Source organism: Homo sapiens, chromosome 5 (genome assembly GCF_000001405.40).
Source record: "Homo sapiens chromosome 5, GRCh38.p14 Primary Assembly".
In the NCBI taxonomy this organism is placed as follows: domain Eukaryota; kingdom Metazoa; phylum Chordata; class Mammalia; order Primates; family Hominidae; genus Homo; species Homo sapiens.
In genome coordinates, this window is record NC_000005.10 from 17,176,023 (window position 1) to 17,200,923 (window position 24,901).

General features: G+C 43.6%; 1 long non-coding RNA gene across 1 annotated transcript in view, besides 1 other annotated feature; it reads right to left on the bottom strand.

Moving 5' to 3' along the window:
- The window catches only part of BASP1-AS1 (BASP1 antisense RNA 1), an 87,395-nt gene that overhangs the window by 45,995 nt on the left and 16,499 nt on the right, over positions 1-24,901 (bottom strand). The gene's annotated exons all lie outside the window — the stretch shown is intronic.
- Positions 14,258-14,552: a silencer, noted in NCBI's record as "tiled region #14227; K562 Repressive non-DNase unmatched - State 13:Ctcf". NCBI's record gives its function as "represses a minimal TATA promoter and a strong SV40 promoter by Sharpr-MPRA in K562 cells {active_cell/tissue: K562}" and the evidence as "EXISTENCE:reporter gene assay evidence [ECO:0000049][PMID:27701403]".

Genomic DNA, 24,901 nt, shown 5'->3' on the forward strand with positions numbered 1-24,901 from the left:
CTTCCTTAGGCAAGACATGATTTTTTCTTTTTCCTTCTTTTTTTTTTTTTTTTGAGACAGAGTCTCTCACCTTGTTGCCCAGGCTGGAATGCAGTGGTGTAATCTCCACTCAGTGCAACCTCCGCCTCCCAGGTTCAAGTGATTCTCCTGCCTCAGCCTCCCAAGTAGCTGGGGTTACAGGTTCTTGCCACTGTGCCTGGCTAATTTTTGTATTTTTAGTAGAGACGGAGTTTCACCATGTTGGCCAGGCTGGTCTTGAACTCCTGACCTCAAGTGATCTGCCTGCCTCGGCCTCCCAAAGTGCTGGGATTGTAGGCGTGAGCCACCTTGCTAGGCCAAGACATGATTTTCTAGGCATAGAAATTAAGATAGTTTTGAGGTAAAATGGGAGAGAGAAAAAGAAGCTAGGTCATATCAATTCTTGAATGCCAAGCTGGGGAGTTTGACCTTAAGTCAATATGCAGTAGTAATCCAGAGAGGATTGATCGTGAATTCAGAAGGATCAGGGATGTACATTCAGAAAGGTAATCAGGAGAAGTGAAAGCCTAGAGGCAGGGAGAACAGACTAGGGCCTAGGAGAAAAGTTATGGAGCATTTACCAAGATGGCGCCAATCTCAATATTAAGGAGAAGATGGATCTGGGACACGTTGTTTAAACATCCCTTACAGACCGGACCGTCATCACTTTCCTTGGCATCATGTTGGTTTATAAAATAAAATGAATCAACATTTTAAGAAGAAAGATGACACTGCTGATTTCTAAGCTCCACTCTGACTGGGTTCTGGGCTTGTTAATGTGTATTTGAGGTGATCAAATGATATGAGACTTTTCTGCTTGCATTGTTTCCTTTTTAGCCAACAGGACTCAAGCTAAGCTAAGCTTTGGATCTGTGGACATTTTCCTCAGTAGTGTGATTCCCCAGCCAACTGAGCCTCCTATCATAACCTAAAGCCAAGAAAGACCTTCTGTCCCCAGATTAGAACCACAGAGATGGACTGTCTTCTGGGGAGGTTCCCACTGGTATCTGTTAAGTGATTACCTAGATATATGGGTGTGGTTTTTTTTTTTTCTGAGACGAAGTCTCACTCTGTCGCCCAGACTGGAGTGCAGTGGCACGATCTCGGCTCACTGCAGCCTCCGCCTTCTGGGTTCCAGTGACTCTCCTGCCTCAGCCTCCCAAGTAGCTGGGATTACAGGCACACGCCAGCACACCAGGCTAATTTTTGTATTTTTAGTAGAGACGGGCTTCACCGTGTTGGCCAGGCTGGTCTCAAATTCCTGACCTCAGGTGATCCACCCACCTCGGCATCCCAAAGTGCTGGGATTACAGGGGTGAGCCACCGCTCCCGGCTGGGTGTTTATTTATGTATTTGTTGTAAAGTTCTACCTACATTTAATGGAGGTATAGTTTCTGCTGGTTATTTAGAAATAAGGAGCAACTTCTAGATGAATCCAGGACAGGTCATCAAGTTACAGCCCACAGCTGAATAAGGCCAATGCCTGCTTTTGTAAAAAAAAAAAAAAAAAAAGCTTTATTAGATATAGCTGTGCTCATTCTCATTCTCATGTATGGTCTATAGCTGCTTTCAAACTGCAAAGGCAGAGTGGAGTTGTTGCAATGAAGGCTGTACAGCCTGCAAAGCCAGAAATGTTTACTATCTTGTCCTTTATGGAAAACATTTGCTGACCTCTGACTAGGAGACTGGCTTTCTCATCAACTGATGGTGTGGTCTCCTGCATGTTGATGATGCTGAAGGACAATGAGAAGATTGAAAACTTCTTTATCCATTTTCTTTTACGTCTTGGAAGTCCAGTTGGGAGAGACTTGGAAATTTAAATTCTCCTTTTTGTGTGTTTTCTTTGAAGTTCTTAGTCTTCTTTTAAGGGAACGGTTACTAGATTTTTATATTTGGCAGAACTACAGTCAGGTCTCCTGTGATTTGTGGTGCAGCAGTTAAATCCATGGGCTCTGGAGCCAGATTGCTCATATTCACATCTTCACAACTCCGCTTACTCCCCGTATAATCTTGGGCAAGTTATTTGACTGGTCTGTGCTTCAGCCCCAACTGTACTAGTAGAACCTGCTGTCTATGGTTCTTGGATTAAATGAATTAATGCATGAAATGAGCAGGACAGTAAGCAGCTGGTGTACAGTCAATATTCTGTAAACATTAGCTCTTATTAGTATTGATTTGATATAGGGTCATCTACAGTCAACATTCTTAGATGAAAGTGCTAGCATTCCTCTTGTCAATGATGACTTATGCTTTTGGCGGGAGGAAAGAATCTGTTGTGTGTTGTCTGAAATCAGAGAGCCCTGAAATCAGACAACAGATTTCACGTCTTCCAAGTGTTTCTTAAAGTGTCCTTTCTGGACTAGCAGAATCAGCATTCCCTGGGAACTTGTTAGAAATGTAAATCATCAGGTCCCGTCCAAGAGTTACTGAATCAGGGACTCTAGGGATAGGAAGTAGCAGGTGATGTGCCAGTAAAGATTTAACAACCAGCTCTCCAGAAAACACAAACCCTCAAGTTGCTGATTCCAGTGGTTTAAATTCTTACACTATGACTGATTGTAAGATATGAACCTGCTGTTATTGACTGCGGAGTTGGGAAGAGGTGTGCACAAGAAGCTCTCCTGAGCTGAGAGGAGGAGCTGGCTCCAGCACACCGCTGGCCCAGCCATCTGTGCTTCAATAAGCATTGAGCCTGTGGATCCCCAAAGAGCATGCTCACCTCGAGTCCTGAGAAGAGAGCACAGCAGAACCTGGACTTTGGCACTAGAATTTCTGGGTGCAAATTCAACTCCACCACTTCCTGACCTTGAGCAAATGCCTGACATATAGTTAAGCATAACTGCACATTGGTTGTTATTATTATTGCTCCAAATGCATGTTTGCCACAGCCAACCAACACCTTCTCAAATACTAGGAGGGGCTCTAAGACCTTTACTGCTCCCCGGGGCCCCTAGGGAAGTGCGTGAGGCTGCATTTTGCAGTCAGATCTGTGTACTACCCCAGGGGCTTTGGTGTGTTGTATATTGTGCTTCACGGTGAGTATGTATAGTGGAAAATGGTTTTTACTCTCTCATTTTGTATGTCAATAGTAAAAATAGGCAACATCAACAGGGAGATTTACAGAGTCTTATTCTCAGGCTGGGTTGGGGTCCAGGATGTAGGCAGGGTGGAGGCTCATTTTTGCACTTTAGTAGCAGAAACTACTTAACTACTTTGTTTAAGAGGGGTGAGGGCATCTAACAAATTATTATTATTATTATTATTTTGAGATGGAGTCTCTGTTGTCAGGCTGGAGTGCAGTGGCACCATCTTGGCTCACTGCAACCTCTGCCTCCTGGGTTCCAGTGATTCTCCTGTCTCCGCCTCCCAAGTAGCTGGGACTACAGGCGCCCACCACCACGCCCAGCTAATTTTTTTTGTATTTTTAGTAGAGACGGGGTTTCACCATGTTAGCCAGGATGGTCTTGAACTCCTGACCTTGTGATCCGCCTGCCTCAGCCTTCCAAAGGGCTGGGATGACAGGTGTGAGCCACCGCGCCCAGCCAACAAATTCTTATAATTCCAATTTCCACCACAATAAAACAGCTAGACTGTGTGTGTCAGGGTGCCTCGCGGACAGAGAGGCCAGGATGGTCAACATGAAATCTAATGAGGCTCCTTAAACCCTGCTGAGCTTCTCACCCAATGGCCACACTCACACCCACAGTTCTGATCTCACCAGCGTCTATGCTGGTCTTCCCTCCTGTGTCTCCTTCATTGTTGATTACCAACCCAGCAGCCACTCCTCCTCCTTCCTTGTGAACACAGCCCTGATTTTGTTCAGACACCATGAGAAAATGTGCTCAGGGAAGGTTTACCCTCATCCAGCTGCGGGAGTGGGCTCTGATTCCAGCACTGTCTGACAGACCTTCCTGGATGATGGAAACGGTCTAGGGCTGCACTGTCCATTATGGAGACCACTGGCCCCACGTGGTTACTGAGCACCTGAAATGTGGCTCAAGTGACTGGGCAACTGAATTTAATTTAATTTAATTTAATTATTTTTATTTTGTTTCGAGCTGGAGCCTCGCTCTGTCACCCAGGCTGGAGTACAGTGGCGCTATCTTGGCTCACTGCAACCTCTGTCTTCTGGGTTCAGGCGATTCTCCTGCCTCAGCCTCCTGAGTAGCTGCGATTACTGGCATGCACCACCAGACCTGGCTGATTTTTGTATTTTTAGTAGAGACGGAGTTTCACCAAGTTGGCTAGGCTGGTTTCAAACGCCTGACCTCAGGGGATCCACCCACCTCAGCCTCCAAAAGTGCCAGGATTACAGGCGTGAGCCACCACGCCCGGCCTAAATTTTAAATTTTATTTAATTTTAATTTAAATCTAAATTGCTTTATGTGGTTATTAGGAGCTACCACGGGAGATAGCACAGAGGCTCCAAACCATGATGATTTCACTCTCCTTTGCCAGGTATTGCCTCAGACATCACTGTGTGGCCCAGTCCTGACCTGTAGGCTCTGAGAAAGGCATGAGGTCTGGGAAGGAGTTTTCTCCCTGCTAAAGGAGAGAGATGCCCAAGAGAGGCCTGTGTCATTCTTATCCCTTGCCTTGTCCCCTCCAGCACTTTCCTTCCTGTCCTGCATACTGTCGTGTGGTGTGAAAGCCTGCTGCTTTGGGAACGATCTTGTGACAATGAGGGGATGATAAAAATAAATAAAGATGACAAGAACTAACACTCATAGTGCTTAATACATGCCAGTCTCTCCTTAAGCAGTTTATAGATATTAACTAATTTAATTCTAACAGCAACTCTGGAAGGACAACTACTGTTCTCTCCAATTGACAGAGGAGGGAGCCGAGGCTCAGCGAAGTTCAGTAATTTGTGGGAAGTTTCACAGACAAGAAGCACCAAAGCTGGGATTTGAACTCAGGGAGACCCATGGCAGAGGCTGTACTCCTCACTGTTGTGACATACTGCCTTTCTAGAACCAGAATTCCAGAGAAGCTGTGTAACCCTGGAGCCATAAATCCCTAGACTTCCTGCTGCATGAGATAAACACACATGGTTATGTTTGAAGTCACTATCAGCTGGATCTCCTGTGAGTTGCAGCCTCAGACATCCTGAGTGATACCAGTGTCTTTGAATGTGTCTCCTTCAACCTGGGTACCCGACTACAGGAGTCCACTGAATCATTCCTCTATCAGGGGCTGATTCACTGCAGACGTGGGTTAGGAAACCATCCCAACGTCAAAGAGAAACAATCCATCTAAGGCAGGGGAACGCTGACGTGGTAACACCCAGTGCTGACACCCACAGGAGGATCCCATCTAGGCCCCACCCCAGAGCTCACAGCAAAGCTCAGCCCATTAGCATCTGCCCGTTATCTCTGATTCTGAAAAATAAAGTCTGTCCAAAAGCATTGTGAGAATGAGAAGTTCAAAGTCACAGGGAAGCTTGAAAGCCATCTCTAGAAGCCTGTGGCACATACCTGTAATGTTTCAGCCCTCATTATTCATTATGTTCTCATTGCGTAGTCAGCGTCTGGGTTTCCCCAGTGCCCCAAATTCTCTCTTTGGTGACTAAGAATTTAGGATGACTCGCCATTGGATTTCACCAAGTAGGGTGTTCATCTTTCCAGGCTTATGAAAATTTGGAAACATATAAATGCTTAATCCTTTCAATCAGATGCAAACATGGGTTCAATGGAATAACGCTGAGGACCACCTGTCCAAGGTGGTGTGACACACTTTATATTGGGGACACAGCAGGCTCTCATTAGAGGGCAGTTGCAGGAATTGCCCATAACCGTCCTTCTTCCTTCCTTGCGCCAGGGTGGCCCTTTCTTTCTCCCAGCTTCCCACTGCCCTTCTCCCTCCCCGACCCTGGCGTTCTCTTCTTACCACATCCCAGGATTAAGTAGGGCCTAGGCTGCAATGGCACGATGAATGGGGTCATCTAAGAGGAAGGAAGAACAAATCTACATGGCAGAGGGTCCCAGGGCCCACCTCTCACCACAGTCTTCATTTGCCCCTTCACTCACTCAACAAAGAAATATTGAGCACCTACTGTGTACAGCACTGGAGAGAGAAGTAGAAAAACTATTTTTTTTTTAGATGGAGTCTCACTCTGTCACCCAGGTTGGAGTGCAGTGGCACGACCTCGACTCACTGCAACCTCCACCTCCCAGGCTTGAGCAATCCTCCCACTTCAGCTTCCCGAGTAGCTGGGACCTCAGGCACACACCACCATGCTGGGCTAATTTTTTGTATTTTGGGTAGAGACGGTTTCACCATGTTGTCCAGGCTGGCCTTGAACTCCTGAACTCAGGAGATTCACTCACCTTGGCCTCCCAAAGTGCTGGGATTACAGGTGTGAGCCACCACGCCAGGCTGAAAAACTCTTCCTGGAAGAAAATGCAAACTGTTTGAGTATCACTCTGGGGTTTTATTTCTTAATCTTATTTCAGTATTTGCTATATTCAAAGAGCCAGCATTATCTTTAGATCAAAGCTAGGAGACAAATAAGTTAGGCATCATTGTCCCATTTTTCATGGGAGAACATGAAGACTGATGTCAAGCAACTTTTTCATGGGATGTGAGTAACGGGTAGACTCAAGCCTCAAACTCACATCTTCTGACTCATTTATTTTCCGCTGACATGTCTCACCCCAGAGGCTGGCCTGGGCAGGACCAACCACTGCAGGTGTTCACACTGCTCTGAAGTGGATTCTCCAAAGTTCTTTTCACCCAAGCCCCCTCATTGTGGGGAGAGGAGGGGTTCACTGCCAGCCCCCTGCATGATCCCGCTGGTTAGTCTTTGAAGTAAAAAGCCTTGAGATCAAAGGAAATATTTTGTTGAACTCAGCTATTCGTCCTTGATCTGCTAAAAACCTTAATTTAATTAGCAATATAAACTTTGTAAAGACTTCACTTTCTCAACTTGGTTCAACTTATACCTTTCTTTTATTTGGAAGTGAATAAGGAAAAAATAAGGAAGAAACAAGAAAGAAAAAGTATCTAAAATATCTCACATAAGACATGGACTATGCAATACTTCTGTCTCATGAGTATTTTTCAGTGGTATTGACCTAAATGTTTATACTGATCCTCCAATGAGTAATAAGTTATAGTGGGAAATATTTTGGACAGAATTGTCTAGTTGTGCTCCAAAAAGGCAAACTTCCCAGATTCCTTGATGTTTGAAATCATAGCATTTTAAGAAGGAGGGTACTAGCATTATGACATATTTCTTAAGTCAGATGCTTTATATATGTTTAAAGAATTCAATTCTTACAGGAATCTGTGACATAGGTATTCTTTATCGTTTTCAAAAGAAAGCAAGCAACAGTCTCATGGTTGCACTGTTTAGAAGCATGGAGCAAAGATTTCAATCCACACTGGCAGACGCCAAGCCCTACTCTGTGTTAATAGTTCACTGTGCTTGTAGAGCTGCCTTTATTTATTATTATTATTATTTTTTAAGATGGGATCTTGCTATGTTGCCCAGGCTGGTCTTGAACTCCTTGGCTCAAGCCATTCTCCCATCTCAACTTCCTGAGTAGCTGAGACTACAGGTGAGTGCCACTGCACCCGGCTGGAGCTGCCTTTAGAACTTCAAAAATCATCTGGCCTACTTTTTTCCCTTATGTCAGGGCAGAAGAAAATGAGGCCCCAGAACTTAAAGTACCTGTCCATTCCTGATGGAACAGAGAACAAACTCAGGCCACTAAGTCTCCAGACAGTGGTCTTTTCCCGTGCACTTTTGTAGATGGTCAAGGAAGAGAAGGTTTGTCCTAGGTGGATGCAGACTACTTCCAGGGTCCTTGAAAAAACTCATATTAGGTTGGTGCAAAGTAATTACCTTATGTAATTACTAATGTGGGTGTGTGTGTGTGTGTGTGTGAGAAAGCTGTGCATCCGCCTGTGTGTCTGCATTCATTTCAGACAAACATCTGCCCTAAGCATTTGTTTTAAGGAGGATTCCACGTGGAAGTCGGGAAGCCGCTGGCCAAGATTTCAGGCCCTGATCAATGTCATGCCAAACCTATGTTTGCTGTTATGTAGACGTGGTCAGTATTTTGGGGCAGTCATTTGAGTTCATTGAATCCCGCAATGGGAGGTTTCAAATGACTCTGGTTATAAATGACATGGCTAGATGGGGAGCTAAAATCGGCTGCCACTGCCTGCATTTTCTCCTTTCACTTTTCACCTGCTAACAGAAAACAGAAGACCCTGGCAAGTGACTGTATGATTGTTAATACTCATGATATAAATTCACTTTTTCTCCACTGGTCCTTGTGCTTCAAAAAAGAAAGAAAGGCCAGGCGCAGTGGCTCATACCTCTAATCCCAATGCTTTGGCAGGCCGAGGTGGGAGGATTGCTTGAATCTAGGGGTTAGAGGTTAAAGTGAGCTGTGATTGCACCACTGCACTCCAGCTTGGGCCACAGAGCAAGACCCTGTCTCATTAAAAAAAAAAAAAAAAAAAAAGGAAATAAAAGAAAAAAGAAAGGAAAAAAAAGAACGGAAAAGAAAGGAAAGGAGGAAGAAAGTCACGCTATACTTGAGAAATTCTCAACAGATAAACCAATGTCTCCTCCCACCTCAAGAACAGGCCAGTTCTGACTTCCTCTAGAATTATCTCCATTGATTCACCCTAAGATCTCCCATGATGCACTTTTCTTTAAACAATCTGAAATGTAAACTTCCATGGCTTGTCTGGAGTTTTCAGAAATCAAATGTTATTTCCACCACCCCTCCCCCGTCTCCCACCACTCCTGCCACCACCAGCATTTCTTTAGCTGGGAAATTTTTAAGCTTCTTACTGGAAGTTGCTGCCATGTGGTTAAAATCCCCAACAAGTAAAATGTGAGCTTGGCATCAATAATCAGTTTTGTTTTACAGTCACATTCATAATAGTAAGTTGCAATGAGACAGACTCCTTTTTAACTAGGCTTCTAGTGATTTCCCTGAAATCTAATTGAAATTTTGAATCTAGGAAGAATTTCATAAAACCAATTGTATGTAATTTGTACTGAGAACTGTTTTAACTTGAGTTCCAAAGTAAGAGGAAATATGGAGGAACATGCTCCAAATCTTGTGCAACACATTTTAACTTATTCTTCTTTTCTTTCTTCTTTTTATTTATTTTTTTAAAGGTGGGGTCTTGCTCTGTTGCACAGGCTGGAGTGCAGTGGCACAATCATGGCTCACTGTAGCCTTGAACTACTGAGCTCAAGTGATCCTTCTGCCTCAGCTTCCTGGGAATGCAGACACCTTCCAGCAAGCCTGGCTAACATAAAAAATTTTTATAAAGATAGGATCTCACTATGTTGCCCAGGTGGGTCTCAAACTCCTGGTCTTAAGCAATCCTCCAGCCTTGGCCTCCCAAAGCTCTGGGATTATACATAGGAGCCACCAGGCCTAGCCCTTTTCTTTTCTTTTCTCTTTTCTTCTTTTATTTTTGTCTTCCCTTCCTTTCTTTCCCCTCTTTCCCTCCCTCTCTCCTTTCTTCCTTTCCTTCCTTCCTTCATCATCCACTGAATATGGTGGCCAAAATGAGTTGACAATTGTCGAATGTTGCGGCAAGGTGAGGGGTGTACAGGTCATCATTGTTCTTTTCTCTATATTTTTGCATGTTTGAAACTTTCCATAATAAAAAAGGAAAAATGGATCAGTGGCCAAGAGAAATGATCCTCGCTTGAGTATTGGGCTGTTCTTAGCTTGAAAGAACCATTGCAGAAAACTCAACAGAAGCAGAAATTACATACAGTTCAAACTCATTTTCCTAGGAGGCTTTTTTTTTTTTTTAAGAAGTATTTTGCTGGAACCTAAAAACCACACTCCCAAACTGTTTCAACATGATCCCTGCTGGCAGGAGTCAGAGATGGCTGGTGTACAAGACGGTTGAGAAAGCCCATGACATACAGTTAGTGGCTGGTTGAGATAGTTTCCAAATATAAATAAACGGTTGGAGGACTAGAAAAATAGGCAGAAAGCAGTGATTCTGACATTAGTCACATGGCTGCCATACATGACCTACTTTACCTGAGAACCAAAAATATAGTTTTAGGTTCTTCCACGTTACAGTTCCTACATGTCTTGCTGCTTGTGGGGAACTCCTTGCCTGGCTTCTTCAAATAAGCAGAATGTACAACCATGCTTAGAGCAGGCTGCTCTCTATTTCAGATTTTCCAGGGGAAAAGAGGAATGTACATTAGGCAGATTATTTTACCTCCCTAGTCATGCCAGGGTAAGCTTCCTAGACCAACTAATTCTCCTTCAAGGTCTGGCAGCTCCCAGCTCCCAGCTGCCAGGGGGCCAGGCAGAGCTCCTTCCTCCTCCACTATCTGTGGCCCCAAAGATTCCCCTTCCACCAGGGCCGGCGACCAACTGACCACAGGCTGAGTGCTCCAGGCCCTGGCAGCTCAGAGGACGGGGAAACAGCAGCACACTTGCGGCCCCCTGGAGTCTGTCCCATCTGCCCTACCATCCTGTCATCTCCAAGGATCACCCAAGCTCTGGCCAGGCTGGTAATCTGTCTCCTTTGCATGCCCTTGCTCCCTGCTGCTCTGTGGGGCTTTCCCATGGACTCCTGACTCCTCTTTTACTCTCATGGCAACCCTTTCCATTGGGCTGTCTGGGATTCCTGTTCTTCAGTGGATACTTCCTTCTGTGTCCTCAGTCTCAGAGAATGCGCACCCTAGCTGAAGTTCTGCTCTCTCCAGAGTATCCCGGCTTCCCCCTTTTCACATTTCATCTACTGGGTTGGGGACCCATTTACGCCAATACTCCATGATCACTTGCAATCTATGACTCTTCCTCCTTTTGGAAAATACCCCTGCTCTGTAGAGTCCTTGATATTTAAGATGTGTGTGTGTGTATGTGTGTGTGTGCACGTGTGCGTGCACGTGTGCTCGTGTGTGTGCGCATATATAGCGTTAAGTGCTCCGGCTTCAATATCCAATGATGTGGGTTCTAATTTCGGTTTTGTACTCACTAGTCTGTGAGACTTTGGTCAAGTTACTTTTTTGAAGGCTTGTTAACTCTTCTATAAAATGTGGACGGCAGTACTTCTATAGCATGGGGTTGTTGTGAGGATTACATGAGAAGATCCATATGAAGTGTCTAGCACATTTCTGGTGTAACTCAGTCGACGTTAACTATGATCACATTTGGGCTGCTCACTTGCCTTTTCAAATCCCCCACCATTTGAAAAATGTCAGTGTTCTTTGGCACCACACAACCTGCTCCTGACAGTTCCCAGCTTCCTTAACTCTGGGGCATGCATTTCTACCACAGGCCTGCCCCACTTTCTGGCAACAACCTCCTAATCTATCTGCTCCTTCTCCCTGCCTGGGTCACCTCCTTCCTGTCTACCATGTCCTTGTCTCCCCGTAGCACTAGCCTAGGACCCTCCAACCTCAGCCAGATAGTCTACTTTCACTGAGACCTACACAGTTTGTGGTGTGTACCTGACTCATCTTGTGTGACTGTCATGTTTATTCTGTGGTTATATTTTTCATAATTCTTCCATTATAAGGATCCATATGGGGCTGAACCACTTCCTATACCCCACCCGCATTCCCACAAGCTGGATCGCATGTGAAGAATCTGATAATCTCTCTCTCATCTGGAGATTTGGTCTTAGTTCAGTAATGCCCCTGATCCAGGGAGTTAGTTGTCTAGGACACAGACTTGGCAGGGAGGTGAGGTGGCACTTTTCAGTGGCCATGACTCTGTAGCTGGGAAGCAAGGAAGCCACAGGGTGGTCTTGATCATGTGAACCAAGCCCGTGAGCTTGGAGGAGGGGTGGCACAGGGCCTGTGAGCGGTGGACACGCTCAGCCATGTTTCTGTGCTTCTGAGTTTTAGGCTTGTTAAATTTTCTTGATGTTCTTTGATTTCCCTTTCTCCTTTCTTTAGTAGCTTTGGAAATTCCAGTCTGTTTCACTTCTGCTGAAACACAGCAAGGATAAGGGAATTTTCCCTGGTGTGGCTCCATCTTTAAGATGACACTTAACTTTGGGAGGCAGAATGCCAGGGGCAGAGGGAGTCCGACCGAGGGCTCTCTATGGTGATCCCCCACCTGTGGCACACAGAGGATGCCCAAGTCAGCGAGCTGAGACCTTCCTGTCCCAGGGACGTGTAGAGCCAGGGAATTTGGGGGAGAAGATTTGGCTTGGCTTGTGCCTTATCTTTCCCATCATTCTGAGAGGTGAAGTGGCTCTTTCTCAGAATGGAATGGAGAGGAAGGAAGATTCTTGTGGTTACTGGAGAATTAGAACATGACAAGGTACTCGCTCCATTTTGTTTGAGATTTTATGAATTCTCAAAATATCAGAGGCATTTCTATCAAAAAAAAGAGAAAGGTCCCCAAAAGGCAACTCTTGAGTGACCACCATTTTGGAGGATTTATTCATTCTTGTCTTGTAGGTGGGTAATAAAGAATAAAATATAATTGTATAATACTTTAAAAAGACTATACAGGCAGTTGGGAGTCCGTCCACCAGGCTCTGCTCACTCGCTGAAAGGCAACGTGATTTACTATAAGATGCTTAACTTTGCTGTATATTTCCTGAGGTTTAAAATAAGATCTGTACTTATCTTTTCCTTTAAACTGACATGAATAAGGGAACATTTATGTCAAATAATTTGAGCAACTCAAAGGAGCAAAGTGCTTTAAAAATGCCAACTGGACTGTGAAGTTTTTAGGTATTTGAGGAGATCTACAAAATGGACTGGAAAAAATGGGCATGTCTCCAGAAATCACCAACAGCTGTGCGTTTAAAGATAACTAAAAATAATATTTCATATTGAGAAATTGGAATATCGGGGTTGAGTAGACCGGAAAATAGGGAAGAAAAGGAGAAGACACAGAAAAAAAAAGCCTTAAAACTTCGTGCTTCAGCAGTTGAACCTCTCTTGATTATCATTCCCAGAATTCCATTCTACTTTTTCCATTTTTTTTTTTTTTTTGAGATGGAGTTTTGCTCTGTTGTGCAGGCTGGAGTGCAGTGGCACGATCTTGGCTCACTGCCACCTCCGTCTCCTGGGTTCAAGTGATTCTCCTGTCTCAGGCTCTGAGTAGCTGGGATTACAGGCGCCCGCCACCACACCCAGCTAATTTCTGTATTTTTAGTAGAGACGGGGTTTTGCCATGTTGCCCAGGCTGGTCTCGAACTCCTGACCTCAGGTGATCCACCCACCTTGGCCTTCCAAAGTGCTGGGATTACAGGCGTGAACCTCCGTGCCCGGCCTACTTTTTCCAGATTTGGTCATGAGTTTCCTAGGGCTGCCATAATGAAGGACTACAAACTGGGTGACCTAAAACAAGAGATCTATTTTCTCCAATTCTGGAGAACAGGAGTCTGAAATCAAGGTGTGGGCAGGCCTGGTTTCTTCCGGAGCTCCTTCCATCTCTCCCAGCTGCTAACAGTCCTTGGTGTTCCTTGGCTAGTGGACGCATCACCCCCCTCTCTCCCTCTGTCGTCCCACCGCGTTCTGTCTCTGCATCTCAGTGTTCAAATCTCCTCTCCTTATAAAGACAGCAGTCACATTGGATGAGCGCCACCTAGTGGCCGAAGTTTAACTTGAGGACAACTGCAAAGACCCTCCTTCCAATAATGTCACATTGGCATGTAAAGAGGGGTTAGGACTTCAACATATTTTTTCGGAGAAGACATACAATTCAACCCAAAACACTGACCAAAACTTCACTTTCCCTGGGCGACCCCAGCATGGCAAGTTCTCTGCGTGAATAAGGCAGTGGTTGTTTAACAGGCGTGCCAGGAGGCTCAGGGAGCAGGAGCTACAGGGACCTGCATTGTATTCTAAGCGACATGAGGGCGCCTTGCTGTAGTTTCTTTCCTGGGTCTTATCATGCCTCTCCTAGCTCTCAGTTGCTCTTCAGCTTGCAATCCAAGACATGTATTTGTAGTTTAATGAACAAATCATATACTTAAAAAAATGGGTTAGTTTAATCTTAAAAAATCAAAGGCTTTAAAAAAGGGATCACAATGTATGTTTCTAGCCTCTTGCATTCACCTTTACCTTTCCTCCTCCATCTGCTACAGTCACAAGGAGAGCATCCACTTGACCTGTAGTCAGGGAGCACTGCTAAAGGTTGTATCTTCACTCAGCTGCAGTCAGCTTGTGACCGCAGATGCGTTATGAAATTAAATGTCCTCCTATTTTAAAGCTTCTACGAGTCATTAAAATTTTTTTGTTTATGGATATCATCAGGAGTGGTAGGGTGGGAGGAGGATAAGGGAAAGAGAAGAGGATGTTTTCAGCTGAGCAGAGGAAGCAAAGTTTGACATTTACAAGACCCGCATGTTATCTCTGGCCTGACCGTCTTGGTTCACATTCTTGTGTGGGTTCAAGTTTCCTGAGCACATGCATATTGACCTTAGTAAGAGGCCAACTCTGGATTGCCACGAGTCAGCTAACTCCTGCTGCCAGAAAATGGATTTTTTTTCTTCAGCAAGAAGTGCCTTGTGCAATTTTTCCTAATCAGGTCTGAAAAATAGTGACCTCTCATTTTGCAAAAACAGTTCACTATTGACAATATTAATAAAAACACGTGAGTTTACATAAATTAAGGGTTTTGGGTCTATTTCTGTGTGCTTTGACTGCAGTGCCTCCTAGTGGACACTTTTATGCTATACAAGTTTCTCATGGTTGATTAGTACTCACAGAAATGTTAAGAATGCATTTGAACAAACTCATTGTTTTCTACAGTAGGTTCCTCTTTTGTTTCTTGTTAGGTTTTAATTTTTCCCCAGCTAAGGTTCACTTCAATACATGACCAAATTGTGTCTATGTACAATCCTCTGATTGTTCAGAGGAAATTTTCTACACCCCCCTTTTCCTCATCTTAGGAGAGAATTTAAAGAGAATAAAATGCGCGCATGAGTAAGTTGCCATAAGAGCTTTTAAACTGTGGTTGGTAACATGATATATGTATCTGGAAAACTAGAATGCTAAAAATACCGCAATAATGAGGCTTTAAAACTAAGATGATTATGACTTAAACATTTAAAAGCAGGGTAGGAATATGAACTCATTCAGCAAGAGTTTGACATCTATTCCATTCTAGAGGGCTTGTGGCAAGTATGTGGGGAGGAATGGCCAATCCCCAGATAAAGGCCACCTGCTTGTTGCTTTCCTGCCTGTGACTTTATCCCCAGATGATTCAGAGAAGATAGGCTCTCCAGCCGCCCGCATGTTCCCTCTCACTGTGGATGTAATTGGGGTTCAGGTGAAAGTCCTCACCTCACTTCCTGGTGTTGTAGCTTCAGGAGTCTGCAGGGTGGCAAAGTCAAGTGATTCGAGCCAGGATTGTCTTACGTGGGGCCCAGCTTTGGAGGGTTCTGAAAGCTCCTTGAAAGTGACTGTAAAGCTATGACAGAGATTCCCAGACTTCGAGATTTTACAAAGAAGCCAAGGAATAAAGAAAGCTTTTAATGGGGGATTAAAGAAAGATGCCCAATTTAAAAAACAACAAACTTTTTTCCCTGTAATAGCGTTAAAAATAAACTACTAACGGGCTGGGTGCAGTGGCTCATGCCTGTAATCCTGGCACTTTGGGAGGCCGAGGCGGGTGGATCACCTGAGGTCAGTAGTTTGAGACTAGCCTGGCCAACATGCCAAAACCCCGCCTCTACTAAAAGTACAAAAATTAGCTGGGCGTGGTGGTGCACAGCTGTAATTCCAGCTATTCAGGAGGCTGAGGCAGGAGAATCGCTTGAACCCAGGAGGCAGAGGTTGCAATGAGCCGGGATTGCGCCACTGCACTCCAGCCTGGGCGATGGAGCAAGACTCCGTCTGAAAAAAAAAAAAAAAAGGAATAATGAAACAGCTACCATCAGCTACCATCACCTACCATCACTGGTTCATAAAAGAAAGAATGCTTTAACACAAAAGACAAGACATAATTTTAAAAGCAAGGACATTTCTTCCCAGGAGAAAATATTTTATGTAAAAGGTATAATGTGAATATGCATGTATATACACATACACACGCACATCTGTCCTTACTTTTCTTTCATTTCACCACGAAGCAAAGAATAGTTTCTTGTGAACTGGCAGTTGTCTGTGGACTGGCATTTGGGGACTGATATGAGAACTTTGTCCCTGAACTTTGACGTTCTCTGGTGTGACTTGGAGAGTGCCTCCACTAAGTTATTTCTTTGAAATCAGGACTCAGGACTACATTGTTGCTTTAGGAGAGCTTTTGCCCTCTTGAGTTACAGAACTCGTTCCCTGCTGGCCTCGGTTTGTGGTAGAGAACACGTGAGAAGGTCAGAGCTGAGAGGCTCTTGGGAACCACAGGACCCAAGGGGTCTGCTGGTTAATCCTCCTAATTTTGTGCAGAACAGTACATGATTATTCCAGACAGATGGGAATGTGCCCGTATGTTCAGAACCTCAGAGGAAGGATTCCAAAGCCTCCCTAGACATTGCATTCTAATGCTCAGGAATGCTCACTCTCACAGAGGAAATTTATAGACCCTTAGATAGCCATTTAGAGCCAGAACGGGTCTAACATGACTTGGTTTGAATTTCCTTATATTACAAAGTTGATAATCAGCCTTGATGACACAAAGGACATGCAGGGGTTCACTCAAGTTGTTTCTGGAGAGACCGACACTACTCTATCTGACCCACGCAGCCTAACACTGCAGCCTTACACAGGGAACCTAACACTGCAGCCTCGCACAGGGATGCACATCTCAGATGATGGGCGGGCCGGGTTCAGGTCTCCTGATGTAAATCACACTTAACCCACTCCCTGAGATGATACAGTGATTCATCTCGCACCTAATCCCACTCCCTTGAAATACAGGGATGCATAATTTCCCACCTAACCCCACCCCCTGAGATGCAGTGCTAACTGGTGAATATCCCCCCTGCCCCACATTTGAGCTGAGGAAAAGTCAACATTTCCTTTCCTGAGCGCCTTCACCTGATGGGCTTGGATCCATTATTTTATTTTCCAAGCTTTCTTTTAATCATGCTTGAACTTTTAATCCTTTATTTAAAGGCCTTATCTTTTTTTTTTTTTTTTTTTTTTTTTTTTGAGATGGAGTCTCGCTCTGTCTCGACCAGGCTGGAGTGCAGTGGTGTGATCTCAGTTCACTGCAGCCTCCGCCTCCCGGGTTCAAGAAATTCTCCTGCCTCAGCTTTCCGAGTAGCTGAGATTACAGGCGTGCGCCACCACAACCAGCTAATTTTTGTATTTTTAGTAGAAATGGGGTTTTACCAAGTTGACCAGGCTGGTCTCGAACTCCTGACCTCAGGTGATCCGCCCGCCTCAGCTCCCAAAGTGCTGGGATTACAGGCATGAGCCACTATGCCTGGCCTAAGGCCTTATCTTAATATTTAATTGTTTGATGTTTTTTCAAGCATAATTCCATTTTCATGTGTCATTCCAAATATGCACAATATTCTAATGCCCAGTTGATACTGAGCATTTACACAATACATGCATTATCCTACTCTGTGTGTTAAAAGTCTACACGTCACATCGTCTTACTTGTATGTATTTACTGTGTACCTTTCAATTTGCTTTGTTTTGTCTTCTAACCTTTGAATTGTTTTATATCTGGGCTATTTAACTTAGTTTGTTGGTTTTGGATAATGTCTTTATAGTGGGTTAAGTGACACCCTCTCAAAAGATACGTCCAGATCCTAACCCCTGGAACATATGGATGGTACTTTATTTGGAAGAAGGCTCTTTGCAGATATAATTAAGGATCTTGAGATGAGGAAATCACCATGGGTTATCCTGGCGGGCCCTAAATCCAATGACAAGTGTCTTTATGGGAGACACGCATAGGAGAGACAAGCCAAGGAGAGGGTGATATGAAGACACGGCAGAGATTGGAGCAATGTGGCCACCACAAGCCAACGAATGCTGACAACTGCTGGAAATGCTGGCAGCTACCAGAAGCTAGAAGAGGCAAGAGATGGATCCTGCCCTAGAGCCTCTAGAGGCAGTGCAGCCTGCCAACACCTTGATTTTGGACGCCAGAAGAGTACATTTCTGTTATTTTAAGCCATCAAGCTTGTATTACTTGGTTATGGGAGCCACAGAAAACTAATATGCTAAGTCTCCAACATGCCAGGGCTGTGTTCAATACATTTCCTATAAGGTGCTAGTCAGTCATTCCCTTATTTAATAGCTTCTTCTCTGCCTTTGGGGTCACAGATCTTGGTCATTTTGCATATTCTATTCATTACATTTTATATGGCCAGCTTATGGGCAACTTATGGGCTATGTTGGAGACTTCTGTCTCTTTACCAATCAACAAAAAAAAAATTGGTTTCTTTCTGTTTTTTTTTTTTTTTTTTTTTGAGATGGAGTCTTGCTCTGCCGCCCAGGCTGGAGTGCAGTGGCATGATCTCGGCTCACTGCAACTTCCTCCTCCCAGGTTCAAGCAATTCTCTGCCTCAGCCTCCCAAGTAGCTGGGATTACAGGCATCCACCACCACACCCGGCTAATTTTTGTATTTTTAGTAGAGGTGGGGTTTCATCATGTTGGCCAGGCTGGTCTTGAACTCTTGACCTCGTGATCCACCCAACTTGGCCTCCCAAAGTGCTGGGATTACAGGCATGAGCCACGGCGCCTGGCCTAAGAAATTGGTTTATTTCTAATTGATACATTTTGAAGCAAAAGCCTAGAAAACTTATAGAATTGAAGAGTTTGACATCTCAGAAGGAAATGTGAGTCACGTGAGGGTGTTTTTGAGCATTTACACTCATTGTACTGTTGTCACAATTAGTGTGTGGTTGGGAGCTGGGCTTGCTGGGTGGGAATCCAGCTTTATCAATTGGCTGTGAGCAAGTTATTTATTTTCTCTGCCTTGATTTCCATATTTGTGAAATGGGTACAATATAATTGTACCAAATTGCAGGGTTATTTGGTGAGGATTAAGTGAAGTGATATATGTAAAGTTTTTAGAATGACACATGGGACATAGTGAACACCATAGAAGTGTTAACTAGTGTTCATGTGTTTATACTTAAACATCTAATTAGTGTAAAAGCTCCTTAAAAATGGAAGGGTCTGAACTTTTACAACTTTAAATTATTTCTTTAGGCTAAAAGAATTAAGAAAGTGCTCCTAGGTACATAATCCTTGGTAACCTTGAAAATAGGGTTTTAAGTAGAATTATATATACTTGGATGAGTAAGATGACCTGCCCATAAAGCCGGTATTAACTATGCTTTATGTTGTTGATAGCTATAGTTAGCAGGCAGTATGACAAATGCCCTCCCTTATTAAACCAGCTACCCTGTCTCATTCCTTAATCCTTTGCAGTATTTCTCAAATCTATTCCATCATTTCAATTCAAAGGTGAATTGATTAATCTCATTTAGTGCATTATTACTTCATTCTAGCACTATTGTAAATCTTCGTGGAACCCATCCCCATATAACTATTTTCCCTTCAGCAGAATTTTGAGCAGAGCGTTCTGTTGTCCCCAAACCTTGTGAAATTCCCCAAGTCTACAGCAATGACCTCAAAACTCTTTCGATTCTGCATACATTCAGTGGGAAAAAAAAGTGACATGCCATATAAATAATACACAAATGCTATTATACTAATCATACATACTTGATAAAACACATCACAATAGAAAGTTTTGGGAAATGAGTTTAAGCTGAAATGGGAAGTATTTCCAAATATCTCTAGTCATGGCGCTAAGACCTATCATCAGCTACCCTTTCAAGGCACATTTTACACCTAGGGTGGGTTTTCTCTTTAATAGCAGTGGATACAAATCTCATTACAATGCATCTTCCTGGTAATTTAATTTTTTTTCCAGCGTATTGTTAGAGGTGAGGTGATCACTGTTGCTTTTTTTTGAGATGGAGTCTCGCTCTGTCATCTAGGCTGGAGTGCAGTGGTGTGATCTCGGCTCACTGCAACCTCTGCCTCCCAGGATCAAGCGATTCTCCTGCCTCAGCCTCCCGAGTAGCTGGGACTACAGGTGTGGGCCACTATGCCCAGCTAATTTTTGTACTTTTAGTAGAGACAGGGTTTCACCATGTTGGCCAGGCTGGTCTTGAACTCCTGACCTCAGGTGATTTGCCCACCTCGGCCTCCCAAAGTGTTGGGATTTTGGTCGTGAGCCACTGCACCTGGCCCATGTTGCTTTTAGCTCAGGCTGAGACATAGGTGAGTCGGCTCTGCAGATTTCCTGTTGCTTGTCTGTTCTTGCTCTATTAGTACTAATATTAAGTTCAATCTGTAATTTATTTCCAGGAGTCTTTTTAAGCCACTTGTCCATTTTTTGAGGGTTAATTAAGCTAACACATGAGCCACGTGTACTGCGAAACAGGACAATACATGGGAAGTAAGGGGTGGGAAAGCCTGTTTGTGAGATGGTCAGTGTGTGTATAAACTTATCCTCGCTCCCGTCACGCACACCACCTTGGGATAGATTCATACACTCACTGACCATCTTACATACAGGCTGAATGAAGATATAATGTCAATTGCTATAATTAATGTTGACAAAACAGAAGGCCCAACGTGCTCTTGCTGTCTGTCATTTTGTGCACCTTCAGTGTGGACCTGCATCTCTTTGGGGAATACTCAAAAACTTTTTAACCTGACTTCTAAGACCTTTTGGAGCCTGGACTCCATCGACCCTTCCTGGTTGGATGGTTGAACAGCTCCTGTAGGACCCAAATTGGACAAAAGCAATTAGCAATTCAGTCCAAACGGATTGCTCACTGTCCTCCCTCTCAGCATGTGTTGTGTTTGCGTCTAAGAATTCTTTGGCCTGACTTTGCCTTGTGTAAGTAAAGTTCCGCCTTCCCAAGGAAACCCAGGGCAGATCTTCCCACTCCACAAAGTCTTCCCCTGTAACCTCAAGGCAGCAACGAGCTCTTCTCTCTCTGACTCTGGAATTATTTTTTTTGGCAATTAGTCAAACTGCCTGGTGAATTGTGTTCTTTTTTTGTCCTTAAAACTTAAACTTGTATTATTCTTATTCTCTTTTTACATGCTGGTGTCGTATCTCCCCAGCTAGACTGGTAATTCCTTGATGATGAACTATGTTTTCTATTTCTTTTTTAAAAAATTAACTTAAAAAATCAAGGTAATATGTATATGTAATTTAAAACGTTATCAGTACAAAAGAGCTTATAATGGAAAACACCATTCCCTACTCATTCCTTCCCATCTTTCTTTTTGCTTTCCTTAGGGGTATGGCCTTCCAATACTTAGTTGGTTTTCCTGGCAAGTTCCTCTATATTTTACTGCTCTTTTTCTAATTTTTGATTTGTCACATGTAGACATTGTTTACTGAATTTCTGTTATGCGATATAAGCATAGGGTGTTCTGATAGCTCTCCCTCTCATCTCCCCTTCCCTGCTTTTTCAGCCTTGCATTTTCCCAATATGTTGTAATTTGTCGTTAAATTACTAGTCAGGATTTACATTGTTATGACTATATAAATATGGTTTACCACTGAGCCAAGTAAGGTATATGAACTGATTCCTTTTTACAAACTTTTGTTTTTCCTGAAGTTGCCACCTTTTCTTATGTGTTATGTTGTCTCTGAAAGTGTAATTACTTCTTATTTCCAAGTGTCTTATCAGTATTAGTTTCCAAATTCTCAAATGCATCATAATCTTTTGGTTTAATTGATCTGACCTGGACCAGCTCTTGTCTGGATTGGCTGTGCTGTTGTTATTCTGGGACTTCCTTCTGATGCTCCCTTGTGTTGGACACCCTCCTTTTTGATTCTATGTCTCTCTTCTCCTTGGCTTTGACCCTCATTCTGACAGTCTTTAAAAGTCTGAATATGTCTATTCTATCCTTTCTTTGGATGGATAGATTGGTTGGGTATAAAATACTAGACTGGCCAGGTGCAATGGCTTATCCCTGTAATCCTAGCACTTTGGGAGACTGAAGTGTGCAGATTGTTTGAGTGTAAGAGTTTGAGACCAGCATGGGCAACATAGCAAAACCCCATCTCTACAAAAAGTACAAAATATTATTCAGGCATGGTGGTATGCTATGGTCCCAGCTACTCAGGAGGCTGAGGGGGGAGGATCATCTAAGCCTGGGAGAGTCGAGGCTGCAGTGAGCCATGATCATGCCACTGCTCTCCAGGCTGGGTGGCAGAGCAAGACCCTGTATCCAAAAAAAAAAAAAAAAAAAAAAAAATCTAGATTGAGAGCAATTTTCCTTTAGAATTTTGAAAGTCTTTATCTTTTTACATCTAGTATGGCGATTCTGATTCCTGATTCCATTTGTTTGTTTCCTCTCTGGAAGTCTTCTGTATCTTTTCTTTATCTCCAGGGTCCTGAGATTTCAAGATGGTGTGCTTTCTTATGATCTTTTTATCCATTCATTGGGCTTGGCACAGAGTGTGCCTTTTTAATTCAGAGACTTGTGATCCTCAGTTCTGGGAAAAGTTTGCCACAATCTCTTTGATAATTTCTTCTCTTCTGTTCTTTTTCTGGAATTTCAGAAATGTTGGTCCTCTTGTTTTGAATCTCTGCCTCTTCTTTTCACTCCTGTTTTCTATTTCTTGATATTTCCATTTTCCTTTCTAGCATTTCTTCCATATTGTATTCTAATCCTCTACTGAAATTTATATCTTGGTTATCACATTGTTAATTTACAAGGAATTTCTCTTGCTTTCTGAACTTGTTTCATGTTTTCTTGTCCTTATTTTATGAGGATACTTTCTTCTTTAATAGCTCTGAGGGTATTGATATTATGTATATATATCTCCAGTTCCTGTATCATTTATTTCCTTTGGAGTCCTTCCCGCCAGACTTCTTTAGCTCAGGTTGCAAGTTTTCCTTTCTTTTTTTTTTTTTTTTTGAGATGGAGTTTCACTCTTGTTGCCCAGGCTGGAGTGCAATGGTGCAATCTTGGCTCACTGCAACCTCCACCTCTTGGGTTCAAGCCATTTTCCTGCCTCAGCCTTATAGGCGCCTGCCACCATGCCCCGCTAATTTTGTGTGTGTGTGTGTGTGTGTGTGTGTGTTTAGTAGAGACGGGGTTTTGCCATATTGGTCAGGTTGGTTTCGAACTCCTGACCTCAAGTGGTCCACCTGCCTTGGCCTCCCAAAGTACTAGGATTACAGGCGTGAGTCCCCGCACCCAACTGCAAGTTTTCTTAAATACCTGGCAATCCTTGGCTGTCCTTTTATAATTAAGACTAAAATACATAAAAGCAATTTGCAAGTTTAGGCAGAGCTTGTGAAAAAGTGGGTTTCCCAGTAGGTGCAAAACTCATTTTGGCTAGAGAGCCAGCTGGCCTCTTCATTAGGGAACCTGGTCTCCAGAGAAGCCTCCAGTATCCTATTGGTGGGTATTTTCCTGGTTACAGACTTCTGGGATCAGATTGTGGAAAATGGAATAGGCACGCTCACATCAGTTGGCTGACTAAGGTTAATTTCCCCATTTTCAGGTCTGCGCCTCAATCTCCCTCCTCTGTGCTTATCAGTAACAAACAAATGGACTGGCGCCACTTGGAGTCAGTTTCTCCAGACGTGTTTCCAGACAAGGGTGGGAATCAGGGAGCTTGGAGGTGCTTGCCTCTTGAATGATTTGGAGGGAACCCCTGCCTCTAAGTCCTGGGCCTTGGAGGATTTCTGTAGGTGACAGGCTTTCAGACCCTCCAGTGAAAGAATTACAGTGTAAACTGCTTTCTTCTTCACTCAAGGGCCCAAATGAAGGAATATTGCTGTGAATTATCTGAATGGGTGGAGTCTGTGGTGCTTGATCTGGGTGGAAAGAATCGGTGGGAACTGCAGTTCAGAATCGACATCACTCAGGACGTTTTTGTTAACATGCAAATATTCAAAACTGTATGAAAAGCACTAAGTTGACATCAATTTGAAAGTACATTTGCATTCTTTGGGACCTTAGAATGCATCTGCATTTTTGACATTCAGCTACGTCAAGGAGATATCAAAATAATTCTAATTTGGCACCAAATAGGCCTGGCTCTTTTACCCTTCCCTAGCACAGATAGGGGTGTGTGCATTTGCCTTTCCTAGGTGCCAAGAACTCACTATCATAAGTGGAAGAAGATAATCATTCAATATAATTGAATCAAAATTTAAGAGTATCTTAGGTTGAGTGATTTCTTCTTACTGGTTGTTTTGAGCAGTCAAAGAAATGTGTACCTTCTGAACTATAAAAGGCCACGAAGGCAGAGTTGCAGTGCCAGGGAAATTACTGCTAGTGGCCCGAGACATATTCTGGAGCACATGCGTCCCATGAATTGGCACTTTGTCCTCTGCACTTCTCACTGCTTTCCATGGAGAGGATATCGTAACCTCTTTATTGGACTCTAAATCTCATTTTAAACCTCTGAATTATGCCAACACTTTGTAAGGGAAATTAGATAGTTTTACATGGGCTTTTATCCTCAATATGGCAGATAAATTGAATGAATGAATAGTGATCAAGGATATTAATAATATGTATTCGTTGCTTAAGATATACCACACATGGGGCTAAGGATTTTACAGATATGAGCTCACTTATTCTCACAGTCACCATATATTGTATCAGTTAACTTGGACTAAGTAATGCCTCAGTTAAAAAATAGTCCCCAGATCTCAGAGGCTCATAGCCATTCATGTTTACTTCTTGCCCACATGCTGTGTCCGTCATGGGGCTGTGTCATGGAAGCAAGTGCAGTACGTGGGTGGAGATTGGCAAAAGGAAAGGAGTGATGGCAAGCCAGGAGCTAGTTCTTGAACTTCTGTTCAGACGTGAAACACATCACATCTCCCCGCAATTCAATGGCCAAAGCAAGTCACAGGGTCCCTCCTGACCTCAATGGGCCAGGGAGGTTTTATCCTACTACTTGGAAGGGCATCTCAAATCCCATGGCCACGTGCGACATC